The 20,757-nt window shown below is 35.4% G+C and overlaps 1 protein-coding gene across 24 annotated transcripts in view; it reads left to right on the forward strand.

The window, feature by feature from the left end:
- PTPN13 (protein tyrosine phosphatase non-receptor type 13) overlaps window positions 1-20,757 on the forward strand; it is a 220,847-nt gene that overhangs the window by 81,434 nt on the left and 118,656 nt on the right. For all 24 annotated transcript variants that reach the window (XM_011532165.3, NM_080685.3, XM_017008511.3 and 21 more), the window contains 3 exons: window positions 10,962-11,027; window positions 13,257-13,442; window positions 17,839-17,926. In XM_011532165.3, the coding sequence (XP_011530467.1) occupies window positions 10,962-11,027; window positions 13,257-13,442; window positions 17,839-17,926 (340 nt within the window). The remainder of the gene's footprint in view (window positions 1-10,961; window positions 11,028-13,256; window positions 13,443-17,838; window positions 17,927-20,757) is intronic.

The following is a 20,757-nucleotide window of genomic DNA, read 5'->3' on the forward strand; positions in this document are numbered from 1 at the left end:
TATCCTCTGGCTTTTCTCTTTTATTGGGTAATTTTCTACTTCCTGCTTGCTTGGCAGAAGGTGTACTTATTTGACAATTCCTTTGAAATCGGTTTGATGGGATGGAATTTGAATCAAGTTCCTGTTGTGCTTTCTGTTCAAAAATATTGATGTGCACCAGAGATTTGTACTATGTCTCTGATAAATTAATCTTGATTATTGCCACTAATTTGTAGTCTAAATATCAAGAATTATTGCTCTCTGTGCTTTTTGAAAATCAAGGATCATCTTTAGAAAGACAATAATAGTAAATCTATTTACCCAAGCTTAGCAGAAGCCTCAACCGAACTTGACCAAAAAACAACGAAATGCCCTTAATCACACTATACCGTACATACTTTGTATTAAATCTTGTTAATCCATTCTCTGTCCCGTTTTCATTCATTCATAAATTTGACAAATGTTTGTTATATGCCAGGACCCTGTGCCACTGAAGAAGAAATTCTAGGATTGTCTAGTGACACAGTCCAATATGTAATCATATAATTAAATTGAAAATGTTAAATGTTGGGCTTGTAGGGATACTATCTCACATCCATTACAATGGCTACTATCAAAAGAACAGGATATAACAACTGTTGGCGAGGATGCAGAGAAATTGGAACCCTTGTGTGTTGTTGGTGAGAATGTAAAATTGTACAGTCACAATGGAAAGCAGTATAAAGGTTTCTTAAAAAATTAAAAATAGAATTACCATATGGTCCAGCAACTCCACTTCTGAGTATATATATCCAAAATAATTCACAGCAGGAACTCAAAGAGATATTTGCACACCCATGTTCATAGCAGTGTTATTCACAATAGCCAAAAGCTGGAAGCAGCCCAAATGTTCATTGGCAGATGAATGGATAAAAAAAACTGTGGAATATACATACAATGAATATCATACAGGCTTAAGTAAAAGGCAGGCTTGTCACATGCTACAATATGGATGAACCTGGAAGACATTATGTTAAGTGAAATAAGCCAATTACAAAGGACAAATACTATGTGATTCCACTCATATGAAGTATCTAAAGTAGTCAAAATCATAGAAACAAAAAGTAGAAAGGTGATTGCCAAGGACTGGGCAGAGAGGGTAGAGGGAAGAATTAGTGTTTAATGAGTATAGAGTTTTAGTTTTGCAAGGTGAAAAAGTTCCAGAGATTGTTGCACAACAGTGTAAATATGCTTAACACTACTGAAATATATACTTAATGGCCGGGCACGGTGGCTCACGCCTGTAATCCCAGCACTTTGGAAGGCCGAAGCGGGCAGATCACGAGGTCAGGAGATCGAGACCATCCTGGCTAACACGGTAAAACCCTGTCTCTACTAAAAATACAAAAAATTAACCAGGCATGGTGGCGGGCACCAGTAGTCCCAGCTACTTGCGAGGCTGAGGCAGGAGAATGGCGTGAACCTGGGAGGCAGAGCTTGCAGTGAGCGGAGATCGCGCCACTGCACTCCAACCTGGGCAACAGAGCAAGACTCTGTCTCAAAAAACAACAACAACAAAATATATACTTAAAAATAGATGGTAAATTTAGTCTTTTTTTTTTTTTTTGAGACGGAGTCTAGCTCTGTCACCAGGCTGGAGTGCAGTGGCACGATCTCAGCTCACTGCAACCTCCACCTCCCGGGTTCAAGTAGTTCTCCTGCCTCAGCCTCCCAAGTAGCTAGGACTACAGGCGCATGCCACCACACCCAGCTAAGTTTTGTATTTTTAGTAGAGACAGGGTCTCACCATGTTGGCCAGGATGGTCTCGATCGCTTGACCTCGTGATCCATCTGCCTCGGCCTCCCACAGTGCTGGGATTACAGGCATGAGCCACTGTGCCCAGCCGGTAAATTTAATCTTGTGTGGGTTTTTTTTTTTTTTTAACCACAATGAAAGATGATGCCAAGTCCTAGAGTTTTAATAGGTGCAAAAGCATTATAGAAAGTTAGGTCTTTAAATATCACTTCACCATACTATGTTCCACTAGCTAAAAAACTAATTTCTGGTAATGTTATTGGAGTGTTAATGGCTTAATGTTTTGCTCTAGTCAGATAACACATTTCCATCTTATTAGTTTTTAAGTGTATATCATCTTAACTTGAAGGAATAACTCTTAAGATGGAAATTTAGCCCCATGAGAGAGTACTTAGGGCACCAAAATGGATCCTAAAATAATTCTATTTCAGCAGATCCCTGGGGCCATTTGCAGTTGGTGGGTCTCCCCTAGAGCACTAGAACATGTTTTGGTTTGCAATAAATGATACTGGTGTTCCTAGTCCTACAGTAAGTAACCTAGAGTTAAATAAGTTGCCAGATATATTGTTAAGCTATTATATCTTATAAACTAACCATCACACTCAGTATGTAAAGTGTGATGAAATATAAAAGGTAATGTGTTGTGGGGAAAGGGTTAATTTTAAAATTAGAAAATAACAACCTGCTGTTTTGAGCTTTAAAAATAATTTTGGAGGTGACTTTTAGGAAATACCGAAAGAAAAGAGTTATGGCTAAATAAATTTGTGCAATTGCTTTATATATCAGATCTTAACCTAAGTTCCATCATACCCTCAGAGGTCAAAGGAATAAGCCCAAGAGGCCATTAAAAGTTTAAAAATTGCATGCATACCAAAAAAAATGTGTCTTCGTATATTCTTCTGGATAGAGGGATCATAGCTTTTATTCTTCCTTCTTTCTAAAGGGCTAAAAAGTGATTGACTATTTGCTGACAGATCCCAAATGTATATATCTCTAGCACCATGCTCTTGACTTTTATGTAAAGCTACTTATTAGATATCTTCACTGGAATGTGCCACAGGCATCTGAGACTCAATAGATCTGAAATTAAACTCAATGTTTCTTCTTATACCCTGAAACTTTTCTCCCTTCCATTGTGTTTCCTGTAAATGAAGGGACCATCATTTCCCCAATTTCCAAGGAAAAATCTAAGGTGTCATTCTTAATTTTTCATTCACCTCTGGCCCCATTTCCTAAATCTTACGGTTAATTTCTTTTGAGTCTACCTCTTTAGTATATCTCATATATGTCTACATATATTAGCTTTCACTGCTTCCACCTCAGTTCAGTCCATCACAAATGACCAGTGCTGCAAACACTTCTAATAATCTCCCAACTCCAGTCTTGCCCATGGCTAGTTCATTCTGTAAAGTACAGTCTGCATTTTTGAAAACCCATATATAATCTTGTTCTATTCCTGTTTAAAATTATTCAGATTCTCCATGTCCCCTGAATGAACTCTTGACTCCTGAGGATGGCCTTCAAGTTCGTACTGTATTGGCCTTGTCTGAGCCGTCTTTATTTCAAGCTCTGTGCTTCAGGCATTCTGAATTTACTTTAGTGTCTGAGATATGCCACATACTTTCTTTCTTCTCAACCTTTGTGCATTCTCTTCTTTCAGCTTTGAAAACTCTTTTCACCCAGACTCATGCTATTTCAACTGATCTCCTCACTGTCTGGCTAACTTTTACTGTAGATGTGAAGCTTTCTCTTATGCTCTATTGTTCTCTCTGTGTACTTCTCACATGTCACATTATCTTATCTTGTATACAGCAGTGAAGATTTGATATGGAAGGGACCCTGTTTGTCCTCCTCATTATTGTATCCCCTATGCTCTCTACTAGTGGTCCTCAAAGTCTGGTCCCTCCAATCAGCAGCATCACCATCACCTGGGAAACTTTTAGAAAAGCAAGTTCTTAGGCCCTACCCCAGACCTATTGAATCAGATACCCTGGAGGTGTGACGCAGCCACCTATGTTTTATCAGGCCCTTCAGGTGATTCTGATGCATAACATAGTTTGAGAACAGTTCCTCTATGCCATATTTGGCAATGAGTAAAAATAATTTTTTAACCCAGAGGTATCTATGATTTGTTGCCACACAGTGCCAGGGTTGTGTTGCTAAAAGGAGCTATGTAGCACATGTAAAGCAGCTCATATTTCTTCACAGAGATCCAGAGATGGCTGAATGAGAGGTATCTGCACATCAGACTGCAGTGTCTCACCCAGCCTGTCTCTTGTGGTCAGTGAGACAAATCTTTGAAGGCTTTTCGTCTCCTCTTTAGAGAATGGATCGAGAGGTAGAAAGTATTCTGTTAGCCTTCCCAATGATGATAATTTTATTATCCCATTTTATATTTCAACAAATATTTATCATATGTGGGCTCTGGATTGAATTCTGGCTTTGTCACCTAAGGGATATATGAACTCAGGCAATTTGCTTAACCTCTCCATGTCTTAGGTGCCTTATCTATATGGTGTTAATAATAGTACTTACCTTGTAGGGTCATTAGAAAGTGAAATAAGGTAATACTTGTAAAGTGCTTGGGACAGTACCCAGCATGTAGTAAGCATCCAAGAAATAGTAACTATCACTATTATATGTCAAATGCTGTGCTAGGTCTAGGGATAGAGTGGTAAACGGGACAAAATCCCTCTGTGCATGGAGTTTATATTCCAGTATGTTATAACTGTATAGACAGAAATGTATTTCTGTCCTACAGGACTTATATTAATGAGCTTCCTTGACTCTCATCTTTCCATGTCACATTTTCCTTTCTATCTATCTCTATCTATCTATCTATCTATCTATCTATCTATCTATCTATCTATCTATCTATCTCTATCTCTATCTCTGTCTCCATCTCTGGTTCCTCCCTTTTCACATATGTACTTAATTGCCTGAATTTCTCAAGTCTGCTAAGTTTAGCCCTTCTAATTCTTTCCTCTTCAGCCCTATTGCTGGCACTATGGTGAAGTTCTCATTTCTCTTCTCTCGGACTTTTGTCATATCTCCTAACTCTTATTCCTGCTTCCTGACTGTTCCCTCTGCCACTGTCAGATTAATACCCCTGATCATGAGGGTCTTTTCCCCTCAAAAACCTTCATTGAGTTGCTCCTTTTTTACCCAATGAAGTACAGATTCCTTAACCAAACATGAAAATCTCTCCAGAGTCTGGTCCCAACTACCTTATGACTCCTCTTTTTTAGATGCACAGGCTGTAGCCAGTGATTATTAGACAGATCTTGTGCTTCTGGGCTTCACTTCTTTGCATGGCAATGCCTTTCTCCCTGTTTTCAGGTTTCCACATCCTGTGTACCATCCATTCTTTCAGGGAGCATCTACTGAGGACTTATAATATGTCCAACACTATAAAAGGTCAAGGAGATACAAAGATGAATAAGGAGTGGACCTTACTCTCAAAGGACCAGGAGGCTGAGAGACAAAGAAAAGATGATGATTTTGATGATGGTGATGATGATGATGATGTGCAGGGAATATGCACAATGATAATAGATCTATACAGAATATTAAGAGCAGAGAGAGGGACACATAGTCTGTGTTCCAAGTCTCAGCTTAATACCCCTCTGCTTTAAGTTTCTTCTAACTCCTCTGTAGTCAAAATAACCTTTTCTTGTCTCCTTGAGTTTCCTTAGCACAAATTTACTACTTTTTTTAATACATAGGTGCATACATATATATTTATATCTCTCTCCTGTTAGACTTCTAATTCTGGAAAAGGATATACAGATTAAATTAGTAGTTTTCAACCAGAGGCAGTTTTCTCTCCTACGGAACATTTGACAATATCTGGAGACAATTTTGGTTGTCATAACTGAGAGGGTATGAGTAGATAGTACTATTGGCATCTAATGGGTAGAAGCCACGGATCCTGCTAAATATCCTGCAATTTACAGGGCAGCTCCCCACTGCAAAGAATCATCCAATCCCGAATGTCAGTAGTGCTGAGGGTAAGAAACTGAAGCCAAAGTTAGAATCTTGCCTCTGTCAGTTAAATAGCTGTGTGATCTTGGGCAAGTTACCTTCCCTCTGTAAGATTGAATGAGCTAATGTATATAATGTAGGCCGGGCGTGGTGGCTCACACCTGTAATTCCAGCACTTTGGGAGACCAAGGCAGGCAGATCACCTGAGGTCAGGAGTTCAAGACCAGCCTGGCCAACATGGCGAAACCCCGTCTCTACTAAAAATAGAAACATTAGCTGGGCATGGTGGCAGGTGCCTGTAATCCCAGCTACTCAAGAGGCTGAGGCAGGGAGAATTGCTTGAACCCAGGAGGCGAAGGTTGCAGTGAGCTGAGATTGCACCACTGCACTCCAGCCTGGGCGACAGAGTGAGTCTGTCTCAAAAAAAAGAAAAAAAAAGGAAAGAAAAAAGGAAGAAATTGTTCTACAATGTATATAATGTAAGTTTGGCACACAGTAAGCATTATGTACATGCTAGCTATTTATATTCTAATACATATAATAATATCTATTAGCTTATGATAGTAGTGTTATAGATACCAGGATGAAATATTTGTATCTTATCACACTCCCTAGTTTAGTGACTTTCAGAAAAAATGTTGACTAAATGGGTAGTTGTCTAGCTCTTCTATACATGCATGTCATCTAGAATCAGCTCTTCCATCTTTTCATTGAATCCTGTATATATGAATCATCACTATCAAAGGCACCTACCTCTATAGGACTGTGTCCTGGCCTGCTATACTACTATACTAAGGAAGGGAAATAGAGCATCTCTGTGCTGTCCGTAAGGTACGGATGGACCAACAAAGGTCATAAAACCACAAATTCCCTGGGAGGCTAAATAAATAAGCAATACAAGTGAGAAGCAGATCAAAACTTTTTTTTTTTTTTAACTTGTACTGCCTGATTCTTTTTTCGCCTTGGACTTGTTGATATCTTTAATAAAAGATTTAATAATCCTGGATTGTGGATTCCTCTTTTTTCTCATTACGTAAAACACAAAGGAAAATATGTAGATCAAATACTTGCCTGTTTTTGAATAATCCTTCCTGTGCGTGACCTTCCTCCTTTCTACACAATATATATATGCAGTCTGTAACCCATCTATTGCTGCTATTTATTAACCAGATGAACTAAGCACTGTCAGTGATGTCAGTGCTGCTATATTAATTTAGTTACATCTTTGTATCAGTGATCTTTATCCCTGTGTCTTTTCAGGCTGCACCAACAGTACAAACGCTTTTAATTTATGAATAAAGTGTATGGAAGCATCATGCACTTACCCTGTACTGACTGTTTGGAATAAATGTAAAAGCATTTTTCTTTGTATTCTGTAAGAAATATTTTTCTAATATTAGGTACCAGGTTGTATTACCATGTTATTTTAACAAAGATCTGACATACCTGGAGTTGTCTAACAGCTCAACAATGTATTTTTAATTATGATTTAAAATATTACTAAAAGTGTGGAACCCATATAAAGTACTGTCCTAATAAAGTAGCAATTGTCATTTTGCATATTTTATTTCTCTATAGAGATATTTCATACTTATATGTATTAGTCAAGGTTCTGCAGAGAAACAGAACCAATAGGGTGTGTGCGTGTGTGTGTGTGTGTGTGTGTATTTGTATGTATAGAGAGGTTTATTATAAAGGGTTGGCTCGTGCAATTATGAAGGCTCACAAGCTCCAAGATCCTCAGGATGAGTTTGCAAACTGGAGATTCAGGAGAGCCAATGATGTAGTTCAAGTCTGAGTCCGAAGGTCAGAGAAACAGTAGAATTGCTGGTGTAGTTCTAGTTCAAAGACTGGCAGGCTTAAGACCCAAGAAGGTTTCAGTTTGAGTCCAAAGGAGGAAAACACTGATGTTCCAGTTCTAAGGCAGTTAAGTAGAAAGAATTCTCTTACTCAGAGGAGAGTTGACCTTTCTGTTCTTTTCAGGCCTTCAACTGACTGGAAAGGGCCCACCCATGATAGGGAGGGCAGTCTGCTTTACTCAGTCTACTGATGTAAATGTTAATCTCACCCAAAAACACTTTCACAGAAACACCCAGAATGAGATTTGACCAAATATCTGGGCATCCTTTGGTCCAATCAAGTTGACACATACAACTAACTATTATATGATATATATAGGTGATCAGCAAATGTACAATTTTATAACCTAGTTTTAAGAATGTTTTATTATAGTCATGTATAAAAATTATTAACATATAGTAACTCACTTGGCATATTGAGAAGTAAGTATAATAAAGAATCTTAAAGCATGGGCCATATCTCAAAGAATCATAAACCAAAATTAATATAATTGAGCATGCAATTAGTCCTTTATGCTAAAACTATGAAAAATGTTTTTCATATATGAGGTTCTTTGAAAAGGTATTTACACTTAAGACTATTTGGAAAGAAGCTTAAAGAGAAATATGATACAAATAGTCTGCACTAGGCTGTCTTGAACTTCTTGCACATTTAATTTAATTCAACAGACATGTATTGAATATCTGCTATGTAAAGTTCTGTGTTACTTGCTAAGAGGGATACTAAGATATGTTAAAAAAAAAAAAAAGCTGTTTCCCTCAAGGAGGACAAACAAGGACTCATCTAACTATACAACAAGGTAATAGTTAACTACGTCATCAAAGTGTGGTGCAGAAATATAACTGTATCATATATGAGATAATGCTTTAACCTGTTTGGAAGTATTTATACAGCATATATAAGGGGGAACATCATCACTGGCCTATCAGTAATGGCCAGAGACAATATTTTTGGTGGAAAGAACAGCTCACGAAAAGCTGAGAAAGAAAAGGATGTATTTTGCCAACAGAAAATTATCTAGATGTGCCTAGTGTTTAGGTTGTGATAAGGGAAGGAGCGATGACAGAAGAAAACTTAAAAATCTGCTTGCAAAATGGAAATAGAGGAAGGTCACAGTGAGCCCTAAATGTCATTATTTTAAAATTTGAATGTTTAAAAATTGAGAGCCATGAACATATTTGAAAAGTGGAACAACTTTTCTAATCTGTAATTTAAAAATAATTTAGGAAGCAATGTAAGGGATATATTAAAGTGTTGTGAGACTGTAAGAAGGGTACCCACTTTTATTACATATATCTGACTAATTTCTAAAGAGGATTTGATACAGTTTATAGAATTGAAAAATAAAGGTGAAAAAATAGGAGCCGAGTAAATAAAGACAAGAAAATAAGATGAAGCTGTAGTAAGGATGCTGCAAAACGAAACAACAACAACAAAAGCACATGGCAAGAATTCAGTATTGATAGAAGTGGCCCAGAAGATGAGCTCTGAATCTCGACAGAAGGAAATAGGAAAGATGATTACTTATAACTGAGATCTTGCTTTTTGTGTCACAGAAAAAAATAGAAGCAATCAGGACTTTCTCTAATATATCTCTAGCAGCCTCCCCGTGTGAATTCCCATATGCTCTGCCATCTTACTACAGATGAACTGTCCATGCTCTTCTATAAATCCAACTCCTCCATTTGTGCTTTAGCTTCAATCTCCTTATCTACTCAACAATGTTCCTCTAGCAATCTCCATTCTCTCCTGCATTTCCAGTTTTCCCTGTTGAATCATTTCTGTCAGCATAAAAATATGTTGAGTTTTTTTAATCTTTAAGAAACAAACAAAGCAAACAACCTAAAGAGAAGTCCTTTGATTCAGCTTCCTTCTCCTTGTACTACGCTACCCATTCATTGTGAGAAAATGCAAATCAAAACTGCAGTGAGGAAAAACAAAAAACAAAAAACTGCAGTGAGGCCAAGTGAGGTGGTTCTCGCCTATAATCCCAGCACACCGGGAAGCCAAGGCGGGAGGATCTCTTGAGGTCAGGAGTTCGAGAACAGCCTTGACAATATAGTGAGATCCCATCTCTACAAAAATTTTAAAAGTTAGCCAGGAGTGGTTTTACATGCCTTTAGTCCCAGCTATTTGAGAAGCTGAGACAGGAGGATCACTTGAGTGATCCAGGAGTTTGAAGCAACAGTGAGCTATGATTGCACCACCTCACTGCAGCCTGGGCAACAGAGAGAGATCCTATCAAAAAACAAACAAAACAAAAACGGCAGTGATGCAGTGAGATTTATTGGTCAATTTTTAGATTGGCAAAACGCCAAGTCTTTGTAATACCTCTATGGAAAAGGTTTGTGAAAAACTCTTACATGTACAAAAACATGTGGAAAAACTCTTACATGTACTTCTGGTAGAAATACAAAATGGTACAACTGTTATGCAAGGGAATCTGACAATATATATAAAAACTGCAGATGATTTACTTTCTCATCCATTATCTCAGAAAATCCATTTAAGAGAAATACTTACAAGGCTGTTTGCTGAAACATCATTTGTAGTAGCAAAGGTTTGAAAAAAATTTTAATTCTCTATTAATAACAGATTGGTTAAATAAACAGTGCTTTAACCACTAATGGAATTCTATATACCATTTAAAAAAATAAGATCTCTAAGCATTGATATGGAAATACCTATTGATAAGTTAAAAATGCAAGGTGCCTGCCAGGCGCAGTGGGTCACGCCTATAATCCCAGCACTTTGGGAGGCTAAGGCGGACAGATTACCTGAGGTCAGGAATTCAAGACGAGCCTGGCCAACATGGCAAAACCCCATCTCTACTTAAAATAGAAAAATTAGTCAGGCATGGTGGCAGGCACCTCTAACCCCAGCTACTGGGGAGGCTGAGCCAGGAGAATTGCCGGGGGATGGAGGTTGCAGTGAGCCGAGATTGTGCCACTGCACTCCAGCCTGGGCGACAGAGCCAGACTCTGCCTCAAAAAAAAAAAGCAAGGTGCCTAGTAATTTTTAAGGTTTCTGACCTTTTATGAAAGGAGGAAATAAGAATATATATTCGTATTTGCTTGAATTTGCATCAGGAACTTTAAAAGCTAACAAAACTGATTATGCATAAAGGATGGGCTGGGGAATTAGGAAAACATCTGTTGTAATAATTTCCAGTCTTGCTATCTCTTTTAAGCTCTCATATACTTTTATGGAAAATATAAAATGATGATTTTCTCAAATTGTGTATTATATTTTCTTTGGAACAAAATAATCTGTTTTTATAGCACTTGCTTAATTTTCTATTGTATTTTATCATAAAATTATTTCTTAAAAATTCTATTCCTAGATCCACATTTATTCTCTTGGAATGACACTGTATTGGGGGGCTGATTATGAAGTGCCTCAGAGCCAAGTAAGTTAAGTTTTTACAGTTGTTATACTTTTTACATATGTTCAATTTTACACCTTATATCATAGCTCTTCCACACGTTTATACGTGTTCTACAGCATGCTGTCAGGTGTACCAACATTCCTATGGAGTTTGTTTACATTAATAATGTCATACTTTCAGGATGAACTTTCAGTAAAGTACTAAAGACACTATTTTTAAGGTATTCCTAGAATTGTAGCAATCACTACCCAGGTTTCAACAACTCAGTCTGTGAGATGGACCTGGCCTCTTCAAAAATTATAGCAAGATAAATGAGCGTGTACTTTATTTTATCTAATGTAGTGACTGTTAAGAGGGATTGAAAATCTCTTGTCTTTGATGATTCATTCTACTGAATGTAATAGCTTTTTTGATGCAAAAACTCTAGGAATAGTAGCCCTATGTCTCAGAGTGTTGTATTAGAGAATGTCATAGCTTTTTCTCTTGGCACTTCAAATCGTACATCATACTTCACGACCCCTGTAACAGCAGACACAGGTATTAAAGTAACACTTGCTGAGGTCTTGGGCCCTGTTTGCCATTGGGCTGCTTCTAGTCATTATTTTCTAAAATAATTCTGATTCTTAATGACCAATATAAACATAGTAGTAAATAGTAATTGAAAATTTAAAAATAGCTATATTTCATCAAGGCAAGATATAACATATAGAATTAGGTTTTATTTTAGGCATTTATAAGTCAAAACCAAAAATAACTAGGTGTGGTTTTTTCTTATTAAATAAAAGGAAGTAACAAGCATTTTAGCCTTTTATTCTAAAATACAAACATCTTAAGATCCATAAAAGATAAATAATATTCTTCACTTTGTTTGGTTTTATTTTATATCATGAAAAATAATGTATATTTTCTTTTTCTCTTCAGTTTCAATTCTGTAAATATAAATGAGAAAGTTAAAATATTACTGGAAATATTGGTGTCATATATTATGCAACCTAACTTGTAAAATGTGATCACAGTCTATAACACTTTATGTTCTTTTCTGATAACTGGAAATAAAGTCAATATCAAATATAAATAGAGAGTCAATATCAATAAATATAAATTAGAGGGGAAATATAAACTTGTATTTTAGGATCAGAAATCAGGATATTTTGGAAATATTTAATATTAATTTAAAAGTATTTATTAAGTACCTACCTTGTGTCAGATACTGTTAGACACTAGGACTATAGTGACGCTTGCCTATGGAGTTTTTTGGAAGGAACAGACAGCTAAACGGCCAACTGCAACATAATGCAATAAATGCTATGTTAGGGAAAATAGAGGATGCTATGGAAAACAGAGTTGGGACTTCTGGTTAGGCTTGGAGGGTCAGGACAGATTTCTTAAAGGACATTGCATCTAAGCTAACACCTAAAGGATGATATATTAATAATACCCAAATGGATAAGAAGTGGAAGAGTCATAGGAAAGGCATTTGTTTAGACCAAAGTGGATATACCAGTTTAAACTCCCGTCAGCTTGGATGTGAGTTTTAATTGCTCCACTCCTTACCAATTCTTGTATTGTTAGTATTTTTATTTTTCACTATTTTATTGGGTGTGTAGTGGCTTCTTCTTGTAGTGGTTTTAATTTATATTTCTTAGTGAATAATGACATTGGCCACCCTTTCATATGCTCTTTGGCCATTCAGATATAATATTCTACAAAATACGTTAACTAATAAAAAAAAAACCCTCACATTCTGGCTTGTCTGTTTGACCAACATAATGATAATTTATATTTAAATGGTCTTGAAGCATTGCAATATTTTAAATCTTCTTTAAGTTATCATGGGAGTATCTAATTATATTTATACACATTGAATGTATTACATTTTATATAATATTAGGAAACAGTTTATTCCCCCAAATGGTGTGTATGTTTGTGTGTGCGTGTGTACATGTAGTAACTGTTTATCAAAACATTTGAATAAGCCAAGAATTTCACTACTTTACTTTATATTTAAAAATGCCCAGAGTTTTTCTGTACTTCCTTTCTAGGGAAGTATAAGTTAACTATCTTCTGCTAATATATTTTTAAAAAAGGTAAAACACAGTAAAATGCTTATGCTGATAAAAAGGAATTTATTTCCTCCAAGTATGTGAAGTGTGTTTTAGTGTGGTTCCTGTGATTCCTAGAATGATTTGTCTCATTAGAAAAAATATTTGCTCACATTTACTCACTGGCTTTTCCTTTATTTATATTCAGCCTATTAAGCTTGGAGATCATCTCAACAGCATACTGCTTGGAATGTGTGAGGATGTTATTTACGCTCGAGTTTCTGTTCGGACTGTGCTGGATGCTTGCAGTGCCCACATTAGGAATAGCAATTGTGCACCCTCATTTTCCTACGTGAAACACTTGGTAAAACTGGTTCTGGGAAATCTTTCTGGGGTAAGCTACAGTTACAATAGTAAATATAGTCATATTTTAAAATTTAGTAGATATCACAAAATTTTCTTTAAGGATACTATATAGGTAGCATTTTCTCAATGAAGACTAGAAATGGAAAATTGAATTTCTTCTTCTAATATAAATTGTTTATTTGAAACAATACTTAAAATTTAGAAGCTCATTGCAATAAGTCTAGATTTTGTGAGAATTATTCCCAAAAATATCATAGAATGATAGCATGTTTGAGCTGAAAGTGTCTCCTCTTGTTTTCTTTCTTAGATCTTTTCCCAAGGAGCTTTTAGCAAATGCTTCTATTGTGAACACCTAGAAAAAATGTATTAACATGAAAATGGGTTTTAGAAATATTTAAATGTACTTTCTGTTGCTTTATACCTGTTTCGTGACCACTCATTTGTCTGGATCTTCTAGGTATTTCCCAAACCTTCTCCACTTTCCCTTCTTCTCGGAACACTGCTACCTAGTGTATCCAGGGAATCCATGCTTGTATCCCTGCCAGATTTCCCCAAGACCTGGACTCTTCTAGTTTTTCTCTTGTTTTGGATATGAAGAATCCCAAGAATAACCAATGCTATATATTACCTGAAAGTCCCACCTCTGTTCTGCATTTCTAAGGCTGTATTTTATCTTGTTTGCCCTATCTGATCTGGATCTATACTTTATCTGCTCTTATCCTTAGGGTTGTAGTCCTGGAGTGTTGGTCCCTCTTCCTTGCACAGGTTACAAATTTACCACTGCCACACAGTGTTCTTGTTGACTTCCTCAGAATTCCTCATCGGTAGGGGTTTAGTTCCCATCTTAACCAGGATGTCAGATGGCTGCCAGGAATGTATTCAAATTCTGCACAGTTTTTCAGTTGATAACAAACAGGCCCACAGATCTTCTAGACAAATGGTTTGTAAACTCTCCCTCAAGAAACCTTTGCGGTTCTATAGTGAAGGGAAATGTAGGAAGTAGAGGCCGAATAAATGGAGTTCTTGGTTGCCCATTTTCCCTCTTTAACTAGAGCAGCTCCAGTTTTATTTGATCTGTTTATATTTCTGCGTGTGATTTTTTTGAACAAAGGTAAAGCTATTAAAAAATCTTTGAAAACCATCTGTCCAGACCAAAGTTTCTCATATTGTTTTCAATATTTTTGTTTTAAAAATTCCTCTATGACCAAATAAGCTTGAGAAGAAACTATTTAAAGGAAATTAAATGTATTTTCACTGGAGAACTTCTTAGAACCTTTAATATACTAGACTATATTACTAACCTTCAAGAAGAATAGGCATGTAAATAAAGCATTTCCCAAACTTTCTTGGTCTTGGAGGTCTTTTTTTCAGACATTCTCATAAGACTAATATTCTTTAAAACTTCACTTTATGGATAAGGAAACTGATACCCAAACAACTATGGGATTTGAGTTTCCTATTAGACAGTCCAGGGACTTTTTTATTACACCACACTTTCTCTAAGACTTTTGTGCTGCTTGCTAATTTTACTCCTATAGTAAAATTGTGAGAGATATTTTTTTCTGTCTTTGAATGAAGAATTTTTTTTCTGTCACCATAGAAATTATATTACCTATCTAATAATTGCCCATATTACATATAAAATCTTCATCCCTTTAAGGTTTAGCATTTAGTTCTCTTTATTATAGTGGATCTTTATTGTTCATTTATGTATGAAACCTGTGCTAGGGATTATAGAAGATACAAATTTGAATAAAATATTTGATCTAGGAGCTCTTATCTAAAATGCCATAACCATTTGCTTAATTATAAAATGAAAGAAGGCTATAAAATGATACATAGTAAAAATTTTAACAGCTATGAGAGTTTAAAGGAAAAGGATACAAATTATGACTGCATTGAAAAATAGCACTTTGAAGCTGAGCATGGTGATGCATGCCTTTAGTCCCAGCTACTCAGGAGGCTGAGATGGGAGGACTACTTGAGCCTGGGAGGTCGAGGCTGTAGTGAGGCATGATTGCACCACTGCAGTCCAACCTAGGCAACAGAGTAAGGCCCTACCTCAAAAAAAAAAAAAAAAGTTAAAATTAAAAATAGCACTTCGAACTGTATCCTATAGGCTAGATAATCTCGGCAGAGGGAAGTGAACCTGGATAAAGGCTGTGAAATGGGAAAGCAGGAATGTTTGGGGAACAGTATGACATGGGGTGTATTGTGGGGTTATTTAATGGGAGAGAAAAATAGAAGGATCAGTTGGAATCAGCATGTAGAGAGCCTCTCTTCACAAAGACAAATTTTTACTAAGTATAATAATGCTCCCCTTACCTTTCTATTGCTCTTCCTCATCTCCTAGACATCACTGGGTAGAAGTAACTCCAACAGCTACTGTTTTTTAAGTGTTTGTTTACTTTGTGCCAGACACTATGCTAAGGGGTTGATGTGCATTATCACATTATTCATCATAACAACCTCAATTTAATAGAGATACTTTTATCCTCATTTTAGAGGGCATAAAACTAAGGCTAAGAAAGATTAAATAACTTGCACATAGTCACAGATACGGTAAATGATGGAGACATAATTGGAACTGGGGTGTTTTTGACCCCAGTATATTCCTTAAAGCTTTTGTTGCCTCCAGTAGCTGACAGAATGAGTTAGTCTTTCACTGGTGTGAAATTCATTCTGAGTGACCATCATTCTTACTTAACATTAATTAGCGTGAGTAAAAGTCAGCAAGCCAGCTTACTTGTCTAGGTTTTTCCACTGATTTAATGTTATAATATTTGGACCACAATTTTACTTATCTGCAAAATAGGAATAATAATAATATGTGTCAATCATCCATATTATTAAACTGTTGTAAAAGTAGTTATTTCCACATTAATGAGCTGCTTTGTGGTCCTTAGAAGTTTCTTTGCTATTTCTCCCTTTATTTATAATATGAGGATAATATTGTCTACCATATGAGGTTGTTTGAGGATTAAATAGCACAAAGTGTGTGCCTAGCATATAGTAACTGTTCAATAAACAACAGTTATTAATAGTAACTAACTTCAATGCAGGAATTTTCAAAGATGTGGGATGTTAGTAATACTGTCTTTTCAGTCACTGACAGTACAGTGTAATCTGGACTAACATCATTTATGCAACTTAACTGATAACATGATTTCAGAAATACTTCCATTTACAAGTCTTCTTATAGGTAGAAAACATAATGCTTGAGCCTTGAATATACCACCTTAGATGGGTTTTTAATCCATACTTCAGCAAAATTCACTAATGGAGCAATATTAAAACATTTCTGTGGTATGTGCGAGTTTGTGTGTGTGTAAACAAATATGTATGCATGCTTTTGGTGCTAGATTTAAGTAATTTCTCTTCACCATTCTCTCTTCTTCCATTTATATTGACATTTCTCCTCTATTTGGCCACCTGAATAAAACAGTGGTCTGTCCAGTTTTTTATCCCTTATAGTGTGGAGTTTGACCTAATTTGACATACTTTATTTCAAGCAGATACCCTTTGCTAAAGCTATTAAACTTTAAGATTACATTTTGTTTTAAAGGGAACTTAAAAGAGCATTGATTTAAATTTGTTATCCCTCAGAGCGTCCATTTAAAGACTTAGCATTTCTCGGCCAGGCATAGTGGATCACGCCTGTAATCCCAGCACTTTGGGAGGCCAAGGCAGGCAGATCACTTGATGTCAGGAGTTCAAGACCAGCCTGGCCAACATGGTGAAACCCTGTCTCTACTTAAAATACAAAAATTAGCTGGTGTGGTGGTATGCACCAGTAGTCCCAGCTACTCTGGAGGCTAAGGCATGAGAATCGCTTGAACCTGGGAGGCAGAGGTTGCAGTGAACCGAGGTCCTCCAACCTGGGTGACAGAGTGAGACTCCGTTATATTTAAAAAAAAAAAAAAAAAAAAAAGACTTAGCATTTCACAAATGTAATTTCTGAAGGGCAAGATCTATAAAATTATTTCTGAAAGTAATTTAAATTCCTCAATTCATAGTTATAATCAAGAGAAAGCTTTATTATACCAAAATTAATGTGGTTTTTAAATTATAAACTAACTTAAGAGTAGTTAGTGGTTGGGGAAAAAAGAAGACTTCAAGTTTACTGTTTTCAAATAGAACTCATTTTAACAAGTTTAATCTGATGGTATTTTCTAGTTAGTAGGTTACTCTTCAGTCACTGCTTCTTCCCTTTTAATTTTCTGAAATGAATTGGCCAGCACTGGTCTACATAAATCTTATCCAAGAATACAAATTACCCTACAAATACAATAGGACATAGAGTCTCATTATTTAATGTTACATCCTCCAAAAACTGTGTAACTAGTGTCATTCTGTAAACAGTTACCATGAAAACAAAAGGGAGATCCTTTTGTCAAACTTGATTTTTTATTACCTGTGTACAGACAGATCAGCTTTCCTGTAACAGTGAACAAAAGCCTGATCGAAGCCAGGCTATTCGAGATCGATTGCGAGGAAAAGGATTACCAACAGGTAAGAGTATATTAATAGGAAATGTCTAGGCTTTAACCTTATCCCATTGTTTTCTTTACAAAATTATACTTACCTGGCTTTGAAATCTGGTAATTGAGACTATGATTAGAACGTAAACGTACAAACTGGAGGTAGGGAATGGGCAGGAACACTAGCTACATTAAAAATAATTTCATTAAACTTATACAGAAAACATTATTAATATACTTAGGATTCCCAGAGTAACTTATTTCCCTTTCCAGTATTGGTATATCAATAATAATAATATTTATTTACTTTATCGTGGTATTTCATATTAAAAATACTTTTTAAAGCATGACTAAATAAACACATGTATATGTTTATGAACATAAACACTACTGAAACAAAAGTTTCAGAAAACGTTTTTCTTACTGCACTCTGATATTTTTTATCATATTTCTTTTTTTTTTTAAATGCTAGTAATAACTCACTAAATAGATTTTATCATGGAGTTATCAAATACTACCTTAGGTCATGTGATACTTAGTAAATAAAAACTAATGATGAGTAGTGATTTTGCTATTTGTCAATAGCATTATATAATTCTGTATCCTATGATAAGTATTAAATTTATTTTTTTGAAAGAAATGAATGGAAATTTCAGGCCAGGCGTGGTGGCTCACGCCTGTAATCCCAGTGCTTTGGGAGGCTGAGGTGGGCGGATCACCTGAGGTCAGGAGTTCGAGACCAGCCTGGCCAACATAGTGAAATCCCATCTCTCTAAAAATACAAAAATTAGCCGGGCATGGTGGCAGGCACCTGTAATCCCAGCTACTCGGGAGGCTGAGACAGGAGAATCTTGAACCGGGGAGGCAGAGGTTGCAGTTAGCCGAGATCACACCACTGTGCTCCAGCCTGGGCAACAAAGAGTGAACTTCTGTCTCAAAAAAAAAAAAAAAAAAAAAAAAAGAATGGAAATTTCAAACACTTGAAATAAAAGTAAATATAATTTTATGTGACAATTTATTTTTCATTGCTACTTTCAGGCATGGCTTATTTATAAAATAAACTTTTGATTTTGTTGATTATCTTTGTTCTCTTCTTATCAAGCAGTTTTGAGAATCATGATAATCTAAACATTAACAGAAATACTTTTTTAGATCTTGTCCTAGATCTTGGGGCTAGGTAGAAGTAAATGTACAGATTGCTTAAATATATTCTAACAAAATATATTCTAATTGATATAGCTTAATAAAATAGATTAAAAAGTTAAGATTTTAATTTAATCAGAGCATCAGAGAAACCTGTCTTACTTAAAACCTATGAGCAACTCTAATTGTGAAAAATAAATGTAGACCTTGACTATCTGGACCAAATGTTTTACAGAGTCAGAACTCTCATATCTGAGAGGAAGGAATGTGTAAGTTAAAGAAAAGCAGTAAAATTGTTTCTAAGGGAGTGATTTTGTAATGGTACAGTTAAGTATCTGTTTTGGTGCTTCCATTTTAATTATTGTGAATAAAGACTATCTGAAAAGATATTTTAGCTTTCATTTCATTGGTATAGTAATTTATTTCTGGTTAGATCAGAGTTTTTTTCTAATGCATATATGATTAGTTTATATATGGGCCAAAAAAATAACAGTGTGGTAACAATTTTGAAAGTATTTTTCATCCTTTCTTGCAAATATTTCCTTCCTATACTTATGTCCCCATACTGTACTTTTGTCACTTTCTTTTTGTAGGTAAAAATATGTTTATTTTTATACTATTCTAGGATTTGAGATAGTATATAGTGTAAACTTTAGCACTAATAATAGCAGCAATTTGTTAATTGATCAAATTTGCAGTCAGTCTCCTATTTTAGAATCGAATAATAACAAACTTATAGATGAATATCAATAGCAAGCTGAAATAATCTTTTGGGAGACATAGTGAACATTTTAATAAGTAGAACATTAGATTTAAAAGACATTTTTGTTTTTCTTACTTATCTTTTTCTATTTTCTCCCTCTCTTTCTTTGCTCTCTCCACCTCCCTCTTTCCTTTCCTCTCTCCCTCCCTCCTTTCTTATTTCTCTTTGTTATTCTTTCTCTAACCTCTTTCAGCAGTTCCCTACTATCATTTCCTACTACCATTAAGTGGCCATGTTATGTAGTTGAAGTTTATTTGCTTATGTGTTACTTCTTGATTTAGTAACTGTAATGTTGTATTATTAATTTTTGCAGACAGTGTATTTTTCTAAGAATAAAAAATATTCACATATGATTTATTTATGTATATATGACTTCCATCCTATCTCCCTTTCCAGTGTGGGTCTGTAGAAAGAAAAAGGTGAGCCTTGCAATATTTATCAAATTGTAAGGATTATCAAATGCTAACATAATTTAGATTTTATTACTTTCAATGGTTCAGAGGCTTAATGTTTCAGAAATTAATTGTTACATATTATTTTAAAGATAGCAATTAAGAGATTATACTGAGTCTATACCTACTTGATAACATATTTTTAATAGGTTATTTGTCATTTACATATATACGTATATTTGTTTCATAAAGGACATTCATAAAAGTTAAGCTTTCTGGACATATAGATGCTGGGGATAGGGAAAACCTATATTAAGTTCATTAGTTTTTATAGGTGTTCAGTGTATATTTGTTGACTGAACGAGAAAAGGTTTTATGGAAATACTGGATTTTGAAGTGTAATATATTTGTAGTATACTTCTTTAATAGCTCCATAAAGAAATATGTGAGACTATGGTTTATTTATTTAGCCTATGTTAAACATTAAGTTGTATGCAAAAGAAAAATAAAACATCTTGCCTCATATTATTGGACCATTTTCTTATTATAACAATAAAAACATCA

Source organism: Homo sapiens, chromosome 4, assembly GCF_000001405.40.
Source record: "Homo sapiens chromosome 4, GRCh38.p14 Primary Assembly".
Lineage (NCBI taxonomy): Eukaryota > Metazoa > Chordata > Mammalia > Primates > Hominidae > Homo > Homo sapiens.